The sequence below is a fragment of the Homo sapiens genome, chromosome Y (assembly GCF_000001405.40).
Source record: "Homo sapiens chromosome Y, GRCh38.p14 Primary Assembly".
NCBI classification, from domain to species: Eukaryota; Metazoa; Chordata; class Mammalia; order Primates; family Hominidae; genus Homo; species Homo sapiens.
Window position 1 is genome coordinate 13,269,897 of NC_000024.10, and position 17,959 is coordinate 13,287,855.

General features: G+C 39.0%; 1 protein-coding gene and 1 pseudogene across 105 annotated transcripts in view; one reads left to right on the forward strand and one right to left on the reverse strand.

Moving 5' to 3' along the window:
* Positions 1 to 17,959, reverse strand: part of UTY (ubiquitously transcribed tetratricopeptide repeat containing, Y-linked) — a 246,776-nt gene that overhangs the window by 36,002 nt on the left and 192,815 nt on the right. For 4 of the 105 annotated variants that reach the window (NR_047605.1, NR_047642.1, XM_047442755.1 and 1 more), the window contains one exon: positions 8,345 to 8,449. The exons of the other annotated variants lie outside the window; for them this stretch is intronic. Coding sequence is in view for 2 of the 4 variants with exons in the window: in XM_047442755.1 (XP_047298711.1) it covers positions 8,368 to 8,449 (82 nt within the window). In the remaining 2 variants the exon portion in view is untranslated. The remainder of the gene's footprint in view (positions 1 to 8,344; positions 8,450 to 17,959) is intronic. 105 annotated transcript variants of the gene reach the window in all.
* On the forward strand, positions 16,665 to 17,650 carry PSMA6P1 (proteasome subunit alpha 6 pseudogene 1; annotated as a pseudogene).

Sequence of the window (17,959 nt, forward strand, 5' to 3'; positions counted from 1 at the left end):
GTGAGATGAGGAGGGTGTCTCAGTGAGAAATGCAGAAATCTGCCTTCTGCATTGATCTCACTAGGAGTTGTAGACCAGAGCTGTTCCTATTCGGCCATTTTGCCAGCCACCTCCTAGAGTCAAATCAATTTTATTTTTTAAGACTTTTTTTTAGTTGTTTGGATAAAAGAATATATGAAAAGGCGTGGAATAAAAATGGCTTCTGCATTGAAAGAAAAGAACAAATAAGGTTTTGCGGCAAAATAAGTAATCAAGGAAATGACTGTGTTCTTGGCATGCTGCTTCAACAGGGATGATCTTATAGCCAACACAATAAGCCTTAGCATTTGCATTGTCACTGGGCTCATTCAACCTAAGCTATCTTCAGTAGACTTTCCCCTCTAAAGAGCACGTACATTTTGATTTTACCTATCCTCATAATGACCATTTGCTCATTTTAATAGGAAAACGCACACCCGTGGGTAGGGATTTAAGATGCTAATGAGACATATGACATATGAACAAGTATCTTGAGGACCCAGAGGACCACCCACAACATGCTTACTAGGAACATCTTTCTGACCTCCTTACAAATAATCATGTAAGATTCCCATACAGGGAGTCTCCCTCAGGCCAGTTTCATACCTATAAGCAGCCCATCCTCTCTCAGGGTGTCATCTCTCTTTTTCTCAGGGTGTATTCTCTCTATTCTGTACCTAAATTTCAACATACTCTTTTTCTTTTGCAAAGAATTACTCTATGCCACACCCCTTTTGCTGTGTGTCTCTTGTTTACATTATTTTAATCTAAGAAGACAAAAACCAAGGTATCACAATAACCATCAACAGTTTCACTAAACATTTGATAACCCTGACAATTCTATTTGAAATACATTGTGCATTCTATTCTACATAGTGTACATGTCTGGGTGTGGTAGCTCACGCCTGTAATCCCAGCACTTTGGGAGGTGGAAGTGGGGGTATCCCTTGAGCTCAGGAGTTTGAGACTAACCTCGGCAACACAGAAAAACCCTTTGTTTACCAAAAATAAAAAAAATTAGCCGGTGTGGTGGCAGGCACTTGTGGTCCCAGTTACTTGGGAGTCTAAGGTGGTAGGATTGCTTGAGCCTGGGAGGTAGAGATGGCAGTGAACCAAGATTATGTCAGTGCACATAAGCCTGGGTGACAGTGAGACCTTGTCTCAAAAACAAACAAACAAAAAAACCTCTAATCTACATAGGGTACACAGTGTATTCTAACTTAATCAATAACCTATTTGTACAATGATAAGACACTTAAGATGATGAGGACTGTGGATAGCAAAGACAACAGGCTAGAGAAATGAAGGCTTCTAAAAAGAGATGCTTTAGAGTTGGATTTTATTCAGAGTAGAGGATAAAATATACTTGAAATAAAATACGCTTGTAATATTAGAATAAGGAAAAGTATTGATTAGAAATAAAAATATCAAAATAAAACAACTTTAAAATGTAACAATGAGGGGCTTTATTTTCCTGGGCAATTGATGCACACTACAGATTTATAAATAAATATGTTAGGAAATGAGGAAATTCAGGTATACAAAAAAGGAAGCTGAGATTTAAATACAAACAGTATGGCTCTAGTGTCTATGTATCCATTACTTTGTAGTAAACTAGTTTCTTTGGAGCAAATCCTGGGCCTGAGTTTCCTCACCTATAAAAAGAGAATAATGACACCTATTTTATAATAATACTATGAAGAGTAAGATAATAAGAATGAGAGTGTTAACATACATACAGTAAGCAGAATAACAACTACATCCACCTCCCTAACAAGGATGTCCACATCTTAATTCCCATAATCTGTGATTATGTGATGCAGCAAGGCAAAGGAAATTAAATTTGCAGATGAATTTAAGGTATCTCATCAGCTGACCTTGAAATCTGACAATTATCCTGTATTATCTGGCTAGGTCCAATATAATGGCAAGGGGCCATAAAAATAAAAGAGGGAAACAGAAGCATTAGTGTCAGAATGATGCAATGTGAGAAAGACATGATCAGACTCTGCAGGTTTCAAAGACAGAAGGGGTCCATAAATCAAGGAATGTAGACAGTCTCAAGAAGCTAGAAAAAGCAAGCCAACAGATTCTTCCTTACAATTGCTTCCTAGATCTCTAAGATAATAAATTTATGTGTTAGGTCAGGAAATCTGTAGTATTTTGTTAAAGTAGCAATATAAAACTATTATGATATGCAAAAGGTTTAAAAATTTGTACTCAATAAATGAGAAACATATTATCTGAACTCAGTATGAAAAATTCCTAAACACAGTTAAAATAATTACAATTATTAAAGTTTAGTTTTTGACTTTGAAAAAGTTGTGGCATAAGTGCCACCTGAAATTTTAGTAGTTCACACATTGAAAACATGTTTAGACCATTCTCTACTATCAGGCCCAAATAATTTCTGAAAAATCATGTAAGATATTGTTACTATTTATTACTTTTGCAGAAAAGGAAGCTAGAATTATAGAAGTTTAGTAACTGGCCATGAGACTCCAAGACAAAGAAGTGAAGAAACCAAGATTATATGCAGATCGGACTCCAGGGCTTGGATTTCTCACCACTGTTCTATTCTGTTCTCCTTTTAACACTTTTTTGTGACATTAAATAGAACATCTCCCAAGTCTACAAAGTTAAAGACAGACAAATAACAGTTGTTACATCATAAGAAGCATAACGAACGAAAGTACATTTACGTTTAAGACAGCAAATTTTAAAAGTGAAATATAAGTAATGCTTTAAATGATAGTCAAAGGATATGTAACAAACGAACTTTATGTTGATTTCTTTGGAATTGAACTGTTTAAATTTCCGAAAATTAATTAATTAATTAATTTATTGGCATAGTTTCACTCTGTCATTGAGGCTCAGTGCAGTGACTTGGCTCACTGCTGTGACCTATACCTTCTGGGCTCAAGTGATTCTCCCTTTTCAGCCTCCTGAGTAGCTGAGACCACAGGTGCACAGCACCACACCTGGGTAAGAAAAATTACTTTTTAACTACTAGTTTGTGTATTTTTAACTACTAGTTTGTGTTACTTTTTAACTACTAGTTTATGTATTGAATTCTACAATACATAATTATTTGGGGGATCACTAAGGATGGATTTTTAAAACTATGTATTCTAAAAAGAATGATTTCTACTTTAATTCCTGTCTGACATACTCCCCTGAATTAAAGATTTCCTAAAGTTCAACTTTTCAGAAGAAAATGTGATACTTACTATTGTTTTGGATGGATTTCCAAGTGGCCTCATATTTATCATGGTGCTTTAAATAGCAAAAAACAAACTAACCTATTGTTGCATAACCCAGAATTAATAATGTGGTTAACTGATAATAAGGTTAGTTAACCTCCCTCTAAAGTTTTTATTTTTTACTATGCTTCTCACAGCTAGTCTTATTTATTATTGTAGCAGATCACATCTGCCATTTAACTACACAAAGAAGGTCCTTTTAAATTACACTGAAAAATCTAACCAGTACCTGCAGCCTTATCACTTAATTCCTTTCAAGGATTCTGTTCAAAGAAATGCTTTTAATAGTAAAGCATAATGAATACACAAGTCTCATGAAAACGAAAAGTCACAGAGCTATATAAAGAATACACAGACCAAAACAATACATTTCAAGTATCTGAAACTATCAATAAGTTGCAAAAAGTGAGGATTTCCTTTCACTTTCGATAAAGTCATTTTAAAATTAAAATCAAGAGTAGAAATCTTTATTTTGATGAACACAGATAAAGGGCAGGAACAAATACCTTTTCACTAATTTTTTTAAGCTTTAAGGTAAATTTAGTAACATCTCATAATACAAAATGAAAATTATATACTATATGTAATAAACATTTTTATCACAGCAATATTATAGTTTTATTTGCCTGATTATATCACAGCAATATATTATATATAAAATTTTAAATATTTAAATATATTTTTATAAAAAATATTATGTACATAAAAATATATTTATATATGACACAGCAACATTGTATCACAGCAACTGTTGTGGATACAATCAGGAAAATACTACACTGCAACATTATTTCCACTACTTCAAAAAAAAAAAAAAGTCTAACCTGTATCAAATACAAGGAAATGAACCAGATAGATAAAAAAATAGGGAACATTCTAAAAACAACTGGCTTGTTTCTTTTAAATCTGTTTCTTAAAGAAAGAATGTATTAGAAAGGGTTCTTACATACTTAAAAAAGACTAAACAGATACAACAACCGAGTACTAAATTTAATGGGAACCTTAAGTAAACCTGAACTGAGAATAAGAATGGATTCTGAAAAGAAGCAAGATCTTTATCAGGTATTTTTCCTAATGCTATCCCTCCCCTAGCCCCCGACTCCTTGACAGGCCCTTCCCTGTGTCCATGTGTTCTTACTGATTAACTCCCACTTATGAGTGAGAACATGCAGTGTTTGGTATTCTGTTGTTGTGTTAGTTTGCTGAGAATGATGTAGATGACAGGTTCACGGGTGCAGCAAACCACCATGGCATGTGTATACCTATGTAACAAACCTGCATGTTCTGCAGATGTACCTCCAAACTTGAAGTATAATAATAAAAAAATAAATAGGCCAGGTGCAGTGGCTCCCAGCACTTTGGGAGGCTGAGGTGGGCAGATCACCTGAGGTTGGGAGTTCGAGACCAGCCTGACCAACATGGAGAAACCCCGTCTCTACTAAAAATACAAAAATTAGCTGCCAGGCATGGTGGTGGGCAACTGTAATCCCAGCTACGAGGGACGCTGAGGCAGGAGAATCACTTGAACCCAGGAATCGGAGGTGCGGTGAGCTGAGATCACGCCATTGCACTCCAGCTTGGGCAACAAGAGCAAAACTCTGTCTCAAAAAAATAAATAAATAAATAAATAAATAAATAAAAATAAAAAAAATAAGTGAAGAAGCAAGACTTTTAAAAAGGCCGTTTTTTAATAGGGTGTAAATTTTATCTAGATATAATATAATGTTTTTAATTTTCTTAGGTATAACAATGGTATGGTGGCTATGAAAGGAAATTACTGTATTAAAGATGCAGAGATGAATTATTTGGGGTCGCATACAATATATGTAATGTAATTTCACCTAGTTCACCTAAACATGTTTATGTGAGCATATTAATATAGAAAGCCTACAAATAAACACGGCAAAAACTTAACTGATAAAAGCAGGTGAATGTTCTATCAGCATGCAGCGTACTATCTCCCTAACTTTTCTGTAGGTTTGAAAAATTCCAAAATACAATATCTGGGGGAAAGTATTCATATGTATATTGGGAAAGTGTAGCTATTGGCAAATTTGATATATTTAAAAATGCATCTTAATATAGAAAAACTGTAGGAGTTGAATAAATTAAAACGAGGTTAGTCAATCTACTAATGTAGTACTTAATGCAGTCCTTCCATGGTGTTATGAAAATAGCTAAGAGTTCAGAAACGTCAGTATTCATCACCTTATCAACAACTATTTAGTACTCTAGCCTATATTTCAGACTCCTTAAGCAATAGATGTGTACATAAACCTGATCTTTTAACAGAAATTTTTACTTAAACATTCTTTGAAGATTTAAATTCTACATGTCTAAAAGCCAAGATGATAAGTACTACTCTCTACAACTAACTCATTTGTCTTCCTTATCCTTTAGCTTCAATCTCAGTGACAGGCATAAACGATGCCTGAGTGAAGCACGCCAAAGTCCAGCAATTCTGATTCCTCATTTTTCCTATTCTTTAACAGAAATACTCTTTCAGGTTCTGTTCCTCACTAAGATTTTCTAATGTTTTCTCTCTCTCAGGGCAATTACAAACTAGTACACGGAATGCCTCAGTTAGCTTCCTCCTTTAAATCTGAAGTTCTGCATTTCCAAAGCTTTTTCTAACATCAGTATCCAACTTCTCAAAGTTGTCACTGTCTTGAACTGAAGTCATGTGTCACAATTATTAAGAAGTGTTTTCATATTAGAAAGATATATTTTTAAATACTTTGTCTCTAACTAGGTACATGATATAAGGCTACAATAATTGAGATAAGGCTGGGTGCAGTGGCTCAAGCCTGTAATCCCAGCACTTTGGGAGGCTGAAGCAGACAGACCATTTGAAGTCAGGAGTTTTGAGCCCTGTCTTGATGACATGATGAAATCCTTTCTCTACATAAAAAAGAAAAAAATTGCTGGGCATGGTGGTATGTTCCTGTGGTCCTAGCTACTAAGTGGGGCTGAGGTGGAAGGATCACTCGAACCTGGGAGGTTCTGGCTACAGTGAACCCTAATCATACCACTGCACTGTAGCCTGGGTAACAGAGCAAGACCCTGTATCAAAAATGAATGAATGAATGAATAAATAAATAAGTAGAGAAAGGAAGAAAGATATAAAACTTCCCCAAACTGCAGAAGAAAAGCATATTCGAATTCATTATGCCCAAAAACCCCAAATAAACTAAGCATCAAAAGATCTTTGCCAGGACACATTATTTAATTGCTTAAAATCAAAGACAACGGCTGGGCGTGGTGGCTCACGCCTATAATCCCAGCACCTTGGGAAGCTGAGGCGGGCGGATCACGAGGTCAGGAGATCGAGACCATCCCGGCTAACACGGTGAAACCTCGTCTCTACTAAAAATACAAAAAATTAGCTGGGCGTGGTTGCAGCCCAGCTGCAACCTGTAGTCCCGGCTACTCTACTCGGGAGGCTGAGGCAGGAGAATGGCGTCAACCCGGAAGGCAGAGCTTGCAGTGAGCTGAGATCCCGTCACTGCACTCCAGCCTGGGCAACAGAGCGAGACTCGTCTCAAAAAACCCCCCCCAAAAAAAACAAAGACAAAGAGAGTTTTGAAAATAGCAAGAGAAGAACAAACCATCACATTTAAGGGAATCAGCAGAAACTTTACAAACCAGAGAAGACTGTGGTAATATTAAGAGTAAGAAAAAACAAAACAAAAACAAAAACAAAAACAAATCTGCCCTCAAAAAATAATATGCTCAGCAAAATTATCCTTTAAAATTAAAGGAGACGTAAAGTCTTTCTCAGACACACAAAACTGAGTGAGTTAGCAGTAGATCTGCCTTAACAGAAATGCTTAAAGAAGTTCTTCAAATTGAAACAAACACATGCTAAAAAGCAAAGCAAAAACACAGAAAAACATAACTCTGAATATAAGTTCATGAACACATAAAAATTAATGCAACACCGTACAAGTGGTGAACAAGGTTATTCTTAACCTTAATACAAGAGTTAGAAGATTAAAATGTGTTAATACAATGTTAAAAGAGGCAAACTAATTTTAAGAGCATAAAATGTGTGTTATCTGCGGGCAGTAAAAATGTTGTGTTTTGTACGTGATTCAAATTAAGTTGTTTTCAATTTAAAATAGAAGGGTTAACTACAATATACTTTAGAAGGGAACAAGAGGGCCATAAAGGACACTCCAGTTATCATCACCCCTGCAGGAACACCAAACTGATCAACTATTTACACACGAAAGCACCTTCATCAGAAGCAAAACTCAGGTAAGCAATCACCGTACCTAGTTTTGACACAATATTTTTTAAAAAGCACTGAAGGAGGTAGAAAAGACACTTTCGAATCACTGACATCACCCATCCCCAAACCCCGTCAGTGACTGTGTTGAGCAAAGAACGTGTGCATGGGGGAAAGAGAGCTGTGACTGCTGGACTTTGCATTGAAACTCTGTGCTGCCTTGGTTCAGTGAAAAGCAACATGAGGAAAAATTCTGCTGGTACCCACTGGGGGAGCATTTAGACCAGATCTAGCCAGAGAACTGTCCTTCCCAGCAGTCAGAACCTGAGTTCTAGCTAGTCCCATCACTACGGACTAATGTGCTCTTGGGTACTAAATGAACATAAAAGTCAGTATCTGCCACAAAGACTGTAGTTCTCAGGCAAGTCCTAGTGCTGTACCGGGCTCAGAGCCATTGGACTTGAGGTGCATGTGACCAAGTGAGAGACCAGTGAGGGAAGCCAAGGGAGTAACTGTGTCACCCTTCCCCAGTTCTAGGCAGCACTGCTTGCAGCTCTTGGAGAGACTCTTTCCTTTCATTTGGGGAGAAAAAGGTGAATAAAGAGGACTTTGTCATGCAACATGAATACCAGCTCTGCCAGAGTAGAACAGGGCGCCATCATGCAGAGTCCTGAGGCTCCCTTTCCAGGCCATACTTCCTGGATGACATTTCTAGACATACCCTGGGCCAGAAAAGAACTCACTCCTTTGAAGGAGAGGAGAAGACCCAGTTCTGGCAAGATTCAACATCTGCAGGCTACAGAGGCCTTGGGTCTTGAAGTATCAGCCATACCTTGACAGTATTTGTCACAATCCTTAGCTGAGACCTCGGGCCATGCTGGCTTCAGGTGTGACCCAGTATATTCTCAACAGGGGTGGCCATGAGGAAATATTCCTTCTGTTTGAGGAAAGGAGAGGGAAGAGGTAAACGGGACTTTGTCTTGCAGTTTGGGCACTAGTGTGGCCACAGTTGGGTAGAGCACAAAGCAGGTTCCTGGGGGCCCCCAATTTCAGGTGTTGGCACTTGGATGGCATTCTGGACCCACTCTAAGAAAAAAGGAGCCTGCTGGCCTAAAGAGAGAGATCCAAATCTGACTGCATTCAGCATAAGCTGACTGAAGAGCCCTTGGGCCTTCCGTGAACTTCGGTGGAGCCAGGCAGAACTTTCTGTGACTCTGGGAGTACAGAAACCATGTGGACAGACTACTTCTGCAAGAAGTAGAGGGAAGAGTGGGGCAGACTTTGTCTTGTAAGTTTGGGTACCAACTCATACTCAGTAGAAGAGAGCACCAGGTAGAATCCTAACATTCCAGACTCAAGGCCTTGTCTCTCAGGTGGCATTTCTAAACTCCCCCTTGGCTGGGGAGAAGCCTGATGTCTTCAAAGGAAGGACACATTCCTGGCTGCATTCACCATCTGCTAATTGATGTAGGTGGGGAAATAACAGAAGGAGCCAGGCAGTGGTCACCCTGGGGCTTTGGGTTAGAGCCAGTGCGCTGTGCTGGGTTTGGGTCTGAACCAGTGCAGTCCCTGTGGTGATGGCCACAAGGGTGCTTGTGTCACCTGTCCCTCAGCTCCAGGAGTCTCAGCATGGTGAAAGTCTAGAGTTAAAATGGTGAAAGTCTCTGCCTCCATTTGTTTGAAGAAAAGTAAGGGAAGAGAACAAGAGTGTATACCTGGTAATGCAGAGAATTCTACTGAATCATTCCCAAGACCATGAAGGCAGTAACTCTATGAGTTCATAAAAATCACAGTGTTACTGGGCTTGGGGTGCCCCTTAGGCAGATACGGCTGCAGCAACCAAAGATTTTTTTCTTTAGAGATGGAGTTTCACACTGTTGCCTGGGCTCGAGTGCAATGGCATGACCTTGACTCACTGCAACCTCTACCTCCCAGGTTCAACCGATTCTCCTGCCTCAGGATCCCCAGAGTAGCTGGGATTACAGATGCCCACGACCATGCCAGGTAATTTTTTTATTTTTAGCAGAGATGGGATTTCACTATGTTGGCCAGGTTGATCTCGAACTCCTGACCTCATGATCTACCTGCTTTGGACTTCCAAAGGGCTGGGATTACAAGCATGAGCCACCATATCCGGCCTGACCAAAGATTTAGATTACAACATCAAATCGCCTTTGAATACCTAGAAAACCTTCCTCTAAGAAAGACAGGTAGAAGCAGTCCCAGACATGAAGACTACAATAAATAACTCCTCAATGCCCAGACATTGACAAACATCCACATCTGCGACAATCCAGAGAAACATGATATATCCAAATTAAGTAAGGCACCAGGGGTCAGTCCCAGAGAGACAAGAGATCCATGACCTTTCAGACAAATAATTCAAAACAGCTGTTTTGAGGAACCACAACTGTATGTAACATAACAGAGAGAAGGAATTTTCTATTAGATAAATTTGACAAAGAGATTAAAAAGAGTCAAGTAGAAATTCTAGAGTTAAAAAAATGCAACTGACACACTGAAGAATGCATCAGAGATTTCTAATAGCAGAATTGATCAGAAGAATCAGTAAGCTTGAAAACAGGCTATTTGAAAATATACTATCGGGGAGACAAAATAAAAAAGATTAAAGCACACCTACAAGCTCTATAAAGAGTGTTAAAAAGGCAAATCTAAGAGTTATTGGCATTAAAGAGGAGATAGAGGCCAGGCATGGTGGCTCACAGCTGTAATGCCAGCACTTTGGGGGCTGAGGTGGGCAGATCACCTGAGGTCAGGACACCAGGCCTGGCCAACATAGTGAAACCCCATCTCTACTAAAAATACAAAAATTAGTTGGGCATGGTGGCATGTGCCTGGAGTCCCAGCTATGTGGGAGGCTGAGGCAGGGGACTCACTTGAACCCAGGAGGTGGAGGTTGCAGTGAGCTTGGATTGCGCTACTGCATTCCAGCCTATGCAACAAGAACAAAACTCTGTCTCAAAAAAAAAGGAGACAGAGAGCAACATCAGGGTAGAAAGTTTATTGAAAGGGAAAATGGAGAACTTCCCAAAGCAAGAGAAAGGTATCAATATTCAAGTACAACAACGTCACAGAATACCAAGCACATTTTTTGGTTTTTGAGATGGAGTGTCACTCTGTTGCCCAGGCTGGAGTGCAGTGGCACCGTGTTGGCTCACTGCAACCTCCGTCTCCTGGCTTCAAGCAATTATCCTACCTCAGCCTCCCAATTAGCCGGGATTACAGGCGCCCACCACCACGCCCAGCTAATTTTTGTATTTTTTTTAGTAGAAATGGGGTTTCACCATGTTGGCCAGGCTGTCTTGAACTCCTGAATTCAGGTGATCCGTCTGCCTTGGCCTCCCAAAGTGCTGGGATTACAGGCATGGGCCACTACACACAGCCAACCAAGCAGATTTAACCCCAATAAGATGATCTTAGGCCTTTAAGAATAAAATTACCAAAGATCAAAGACAAAGGAAAGACCTAAAAGCAGTGACAGGGGAAACAAGTAACATACTTAAAAAAAAAAAAAGCTCCAAAACGTTTGTCAGCAGACTTCCTGGTGAAATCCCTAAAAGCCAGGAGAGAGCAGCATGACATACTTAAAGTGCTTAAGGAGAAAAATTTCCAGAATAGTATATCCAGCAAAAATATCAAACACAAAGGAGAAATACTTCTGACAAACAAAAGATGAAGGATATCACCAATACCAGACTCGCTCTACAAGAAATGCTAACAGGAGTTCTTCAAGTACCAAATTTAACTACAAAAAGTTTTCAAGATACAGACAATATAGTAAGATATAAATAGAAACAACAGAAAGTTTAAAAGGGGGATGAAATTAAAGTGTGAATTCCTTTAGTTTTCTCTTTGCTTGTTTTTGCAATCAGTGTTAAGTTGTCATCAGTATCACCAGAGAAAATCACCTTCATAAAAAGGGAGACAGCAAGGAAAGAAAAAACACAGAATGATGAAACAAAAATACAGTTACAGGAGTAATTCCTTTTCCATAACATTGAATGTAAATGAACTAAGCTCTCCAATCAAAAGAAATAGAGTGGCTGAGTGCAGAATTAAAAAGATGCAACAACATACTGTCTACAAGAAACTGAAACTACAGAGACTGAAAAGAAAGGGATGAAAAGAGATATTCTATGCAAACAAAAATGAGCAAAGAACAGGAGTGGCTGTATTTATGCCACAAAACTGATTTCAAAATAAAACCTATTAAGAACAAAGAAAGTCATTATATAATGATAAAGGGGTCAATTCAATAAGAGGGTTTAACAATTGCAAACATATATGCACCCAACACTGTAGCACACAGATATACATATATGTATATATATGCAAATATTATGAGAACTAAAGGAAGATATAGATCCCAGTACAACAATGGCTAGAGACTTCAACACCCTGCTTTCAGCGTAGGGCAAGTCAGATCATTCAGACAGAAAATGAACCAAGCAGCATTGGACTTAGTATGCATTATAGACCAAATGGACCTGACATATATTTACAGAACATTTCATCTAATGGCTGCGGAATACACATTCTTCTCCTCAGCATATGCATCATTCTCAAGGCCAGACCACATGATAGGCCAAAAAACAAGTCTTAAAACATTAAAAACAAAATGAAACAATATGAAATATCTTCTCTGACCATAATGGAATAAAACTAGACATCAGTAACAAGCAGAACTTTTGAAAGTATAAAAGCAACTGGAAAATTTGTTGGGGAAAATTTTTCAACTGGAAAAACAATTATAATTTTCCAATTGTTTTTATAGTTTCAAACATTCTAGAATGGACAGAAGGCCAATAAAGAGATTAAGAATAAAATTTAAAAACTGCTTCAAACAAGTAACAATAAAAACACAACATAATGAGGGAAGAGAGAGAGACCCTCTCATATTGTTTTATACTCAGTACTTATTTAAAAAACAAAAAAAAACAAGGAAGTAAAATCAAAGACAGGCAGCCTGGCACCAGGCCTGAAACCAGGCCTGGGCCTGCCTGGCGTAAACCCAGTAGTTAAAAATCAACTCATAACTTAGAAACTGATGTTATTCATAGATTCCAGACATTGTATAGAAGAACACTGTGAAACTCCCTGCCTTGTTCTGTTTCTCTCTGACCACCGGTGCATGCAGCCCCTGTCATGTACCCCTTGCTTGCTCAAATCTATCATGACCCTTTCAAGTGAAATGCTTAGAGTTGTGAGCCCTTAAAAGGGACAGGAATTGCTCACTGGGGGAGCTCAGATTTTAAGGCAGTAGCTTGCTGATACTCCCAGCTGAATAAAGCCCTTCCTTCTACAACTCGGTATCTGAGAGGCTTTATCAGCGGCTCATCCTGCTACATTTCTTGGTTCCCTGACCGGGAAACATGATAACTGACAGACGGCCGAGGCAGCCCCTTAGGCCTGCCCTGCGGAGCATCCCTGCAGGGGACTCCGGCCAGCCTGAGTGACGCAATCCAAAGAGCGCTCCCGGGAAAGAAATTGCCTGGGTGGAACGCCTAGCCAAAGCAGCGCGTAGCAGGCCCCTGCAGAGGATCAGCACAGTGGCTGAACACCAGGAAGGAACTGGCACTTGGAGTCTGGACATCTGAAACTTGGTAAGACTAGTCTTTGGAACTTGCCACACTCCACCTGAGTGGAAGCGTGGCCTCATCACCCATGGTGTGCCTGTATTAGCACTTTTGTTCCGGTTTTGACTTGGCTTGACTTGGTAAGACCAGTCTTTGGAACCTGCCCCATTCCATCGGAGTGGAAGCATGGCCTGATCACCCATGGAGTGCCTGCATTGGCACTTTTGTTCTGGTTTTGACTTGAGTTAGATTGCATGATACTTTGGTTTTGGTTCTGATCTGGCTTGGATTTCTAGATACTCTGATTTTGGTTTTGATTTTGGTTTGGTGTAAACTGCAAAAGTGTGTGTGTGCCCTTTTTACCTGTTCTTTGTTTTGTGGTGTGCATGTGGTGTCAGCTTAGTGTTTTGTCTTGAAGAAGCATAGGCCAGGCACAAATAAGACCACCCCACTAGGAACTATGTTAAAAAAATTTTCAAGAAAGAATTTAAAGGAGATTACGGTGTTACTGTGACACTAGGAAAACTTAGAACTTTGTGTGAAATAGACTGGCCAGCATTAGAGGTGGGTTGGCCATCAGAAGGAAGCTTGGACAGGTAGGTCCCTTGTTTCAAAGGTATGACACAAGGTAACCTGTAAGCCAAGGCACCCAGACCAGTTTCCGTACATAGACAGTTACAGCTGGTTTTAGACCCACTTCCCCGGCCCCTAACAGTAGTTAAGAGAACAGCAGCATAAGCGGCTGGCAGAGGCAAGGAAAAACCAGCAGAGAGAAAACGAGGCCATCTATATCAATTCTAAGTTAATTTAGACTAAACAAGGTCTAGCAAAAGATAATTAAAATCTCAAACTTACAAGGTTTTCAGTAAAAGTGAAGTTTGCTAAAAGTTAACAGTATAACGTATCATGGTAACTTCTAATCTTGTGGCCTTAGACAGTCTAGTCCAAAGACATAAAGAAAGTTTGCTTTGAAAAAAAGGGGTGGAGGCAGAATTTATGTAAGAAGAGTGTTATATACTAAATTCTTGTCCCGAAATAAATTAACTGGCTGTTTAAAGAAAAAAAAAGTTTGTAATAAGTGAAAGTTGAGACATGTTGAAAAATTGTCTGTGAAAGTTGTGAAAGACAAAAAAGTTATAAAAAAATTTTTATGCAAAAAATGTTGTATAATTTAAAAGTAATAAGGCCTCCTGAGTACTACTGAAGAAACAGTTTATGTGCAAGGTGTATAAAAAAAGTAAAATATACCTTTAGTAAAAAGATTAAAAGGAGGCATAAGAATGTAGATTTTTACCTACATTAAAAGGTTAAAAAAATTATTGTTTTGAAAGTTTAAGCAAGTTTTAAAATGTTAATTATAAAAAAAATTCTGTGTGTAACCATATTAGCTAAAGTTAAAAAAGTATCATCCAGTTTCTCTGTGAACTACACATTAAAGTAAAAATGCAACAGGTTTCTCTTAAAGCATCAACCTGCTCTTTAACAAAAATTATAAAAGGTTAAAAAGAGTCTATAAAATCTTACCTTATGGTCAAACATAAAAAATTGGATAAATATGTCTACAAGGTTTTATTAAAATTAAGTTTAACATTAACACACTAATATAAAGGTAAAATTCAGCTTATCTGGTATAAAAGTCATACAAGAAGCATTATTAAATATAAAATGGTGTTTAGCTTTCTTTGGTCTAAAAACTAATAAAAATAGGTGCTAAAGGAAACATTCATTTTACTAGAGGATCATAGAAGTTAAAGACTTAAAATGAACTTTGGCAATTAAGACAGCATACCAAGATGCAAATGCCTAGCTGAAATAGATCAAATATTCCATCTGCACATTAAACAAAAGCAGTTGTTATGCTTGTGCACATGGTAGGCCAGAGGCCCTGATTGTCCCCCTTCCGCTAAGGTGGTCCTCCAGTCGACCAGGTGTGGGCTGCATGGTAGCTCTTTTACAGAATTCTACAGCCTGGAGTAATAAGTCATGCCAAGCTCTCTCTGCTATATCCCAGAATCCCTGCGGGTCTGCCCCTGAGGGCCATCCAGCTTCTGTCTCCCAACACTAAGTTCACTTCTTGTCTCTCATGGCAAGGAGGAGACTTAGCATTCCTTGGAGACCTGAAGGGATGCAGTGAGCTTAACAATTTTCAAGAGCTTATCAATCAGTCACCCCTTGTTCAACCCTCAGTGGATGTGTAGTGATATTGTGGTGGACCTTTACTGGGCACTCTGCTGAATAACTAGAGTGGCACTTGTGCATTAGTCCATTTAGCTATCCCTTTTACCCTGGCATTTAATCAACCAGAGGGAAAAAAAAATAAGACATCATAAAGCGAGAGAAGCCCCTTATAAGTCTTTCAACTCTCGCATCTATTTAGATGCAATTAGAGCCCTGCAAAAAATACCAGATCAATTTAAAGCTTGAAATCAAATAGTTACAGTATTTAAGTCAATATTTTAATAGATGACAGTCGATAAAAACGTAAATTAGATAAACTACATCTTTTACAACAAACAGCAACAAGCTTTTCACGAGTTAAAAAGAGGAACTCATGTCAGCCCCAGCCCTGAGGCTACCTGACCTGACAAAACTCTTTACACAGTATGTGTCAGAAAGAGAAAAAATGGCAGTTGGAGTTTTAACCCAGACTGTAGGGTCCTGGCCAAGGCCAGTGGCCTACCTCTCAAAACAACTAGATAGGGTTTCCAAAGGCTGGCCCCCATGTCCAAAGGCCCTGGTAGCAACGGTCCTGTTAGCATAAGAAGCAAATAAGCTAACTCTTAGGCAAAACCTAAAGTTCCCCCATGCTGTAGTGATTTTAATAAATACCAAAGGACACCATTAGCTAATGAATGCTAGACTAACTAGATACCAAAGCTTGCTCTGTGAAAATGCCCGCATAATCACTGAAGTTTGCAACACCCTAAACCCCGCCACCTTGCTCCTGGTATCAGAGAGCCCAGTTAAACATAACTGTGTAAAAGTATTGGACTCAGTTTATTCTAGAAGGCCCAACCTGCAAGACCATCCTTAAACATCAGTAGACTAGGAGCTGTACATGGATGAGAGCAGCTTCGCCAGTCCCTGCAAAGTGACTCTGAAAAAGACGACTAGCCCTGCTCCAGTCACACCCGGAAGCTGACTGGTCTACGCAGAGCCAAGGCATGAGGAAAACTGTCCTAGGACTTATTTTCCTTATAACATAGACCTGTGTAGTAAAAGCTTCCACTGCTTCTTCCCACACAGGCGACTGCCTTCAGTGCATACATCAGGCCACTGAGGTAAGAGAAAAGATTGCTACAGTCCTATTATTTTATGGTTATTATAAGTGTACCAGGACTCTAAAAGAAACTTGTTTATATAATGCTATTCTATCCAAGGTATGTAGCCCAGGGAATAACCAACCTAATGCATGTTATGACCCATTTTAAGCCTCCCATGATCACAGTTTTTAAAATAAAATTAAGGACTGGTCCTTTTCTAGGTGACACAAGTAAGGTAATAGCTAGGATAGAAAAAAGAAAGGTCCCCAAAAATGTAACCTTAAAATTTGACACTTGGGAGGTGCTTGTGTGCCTGGTGCGGGAGCTATGGGGCCCAGGGATTGTGTTTGAAGTAGTGCTTCTACCAACATGTCCCATGGTTCCAGCGCTGGTTTTGACCGCCACATTACCATTTTTTCACCCGAGGGTCGGCTCTACCAAGTAGAATATGCTTTTAAGGCTATTAACCAGGGTGGCCTTACATCAGTAGCTGTCAGAGGTTAAGACTGTGTAGTAATTGTCCCACAGAAGAAAGTACCTGACAAATTATTGGATTCCAGCACAGTGACTCCCTTATTCAAGATAACTGAAAACATTGGTTGTGTTATGACCGGAATGACAGCTGACAGCAGATCCCAGGTACAGAGGGCACGCTATGAGGCAGCTAACTGGAAATACAAGTATGGCTATGAAATTCCTGTGGACATGCTGTGTAAAAGAATTGCCGATATTTCTCAGGTCTACACACGGAATGCTGAAATGAGGCCTCTTGGTTGTTGTATGATTTTAATTGGTATAGATGAAGAGCAAGGCCCTCAGGTATGTAAGTGTGATCCTGCAGGTTACTATTGTGGGTGTAAAGCCACTGCAGTGGGAGTTAAACAAACTGAGTCAACCAGCTTCCTAGAAAAAAAAGTGAAGAAGAAATTTGACTGGACATTTGAACAGACTTTGGAAACTGCAATTACATGCCTGTCTACTGTTCTATCAATTGATTTCAAACCTTCAGAAATAGAAGTTGGAGTAGTGACAGTTGAAAATCCTAAATTCAGGATTCTTACAGAAGCAGAGATTGATGCTCATCTTGTTGCTCTAGCAGAGAGAGACTAAACATTGTTGTTAGTTTACCAGATCCGTGATGCCACTTACCTGTGTGTTTGGTAACAACAAACAAATATCATGGAGGTCCCTGGATTGAAAAAAGAGCCTCTCCCACTCCTCCTACCACCGAAGTGGTTAGGACTCTATATAAATAAAAACAAGGCTTTTGGAAAAAAAAAAAAAAATTTGACACTTGTGCTGCTACTGATAGTAAGCAGCATAGAATAAGATGCGGTGCTCTAAATCACACACACACAAAAAAAGTTACACAGTAAAAAATAAGTATATCTGTCAAGAATCATATTTATGTAAGATGTGTGTAATTACTAGTCTTGTGTCATCTAGACTTAGAAAAAAGATGAAAAAGATCCTTAGCTGCAAAAAAAGAGAAGGCAGCCCCTCCTGCATGAATAGAGGCTGCAACCCCTTGAAATTAATAATTACAAATCCCTTAAACCCAAGGTAGAAAAAAGGAGAACACATATC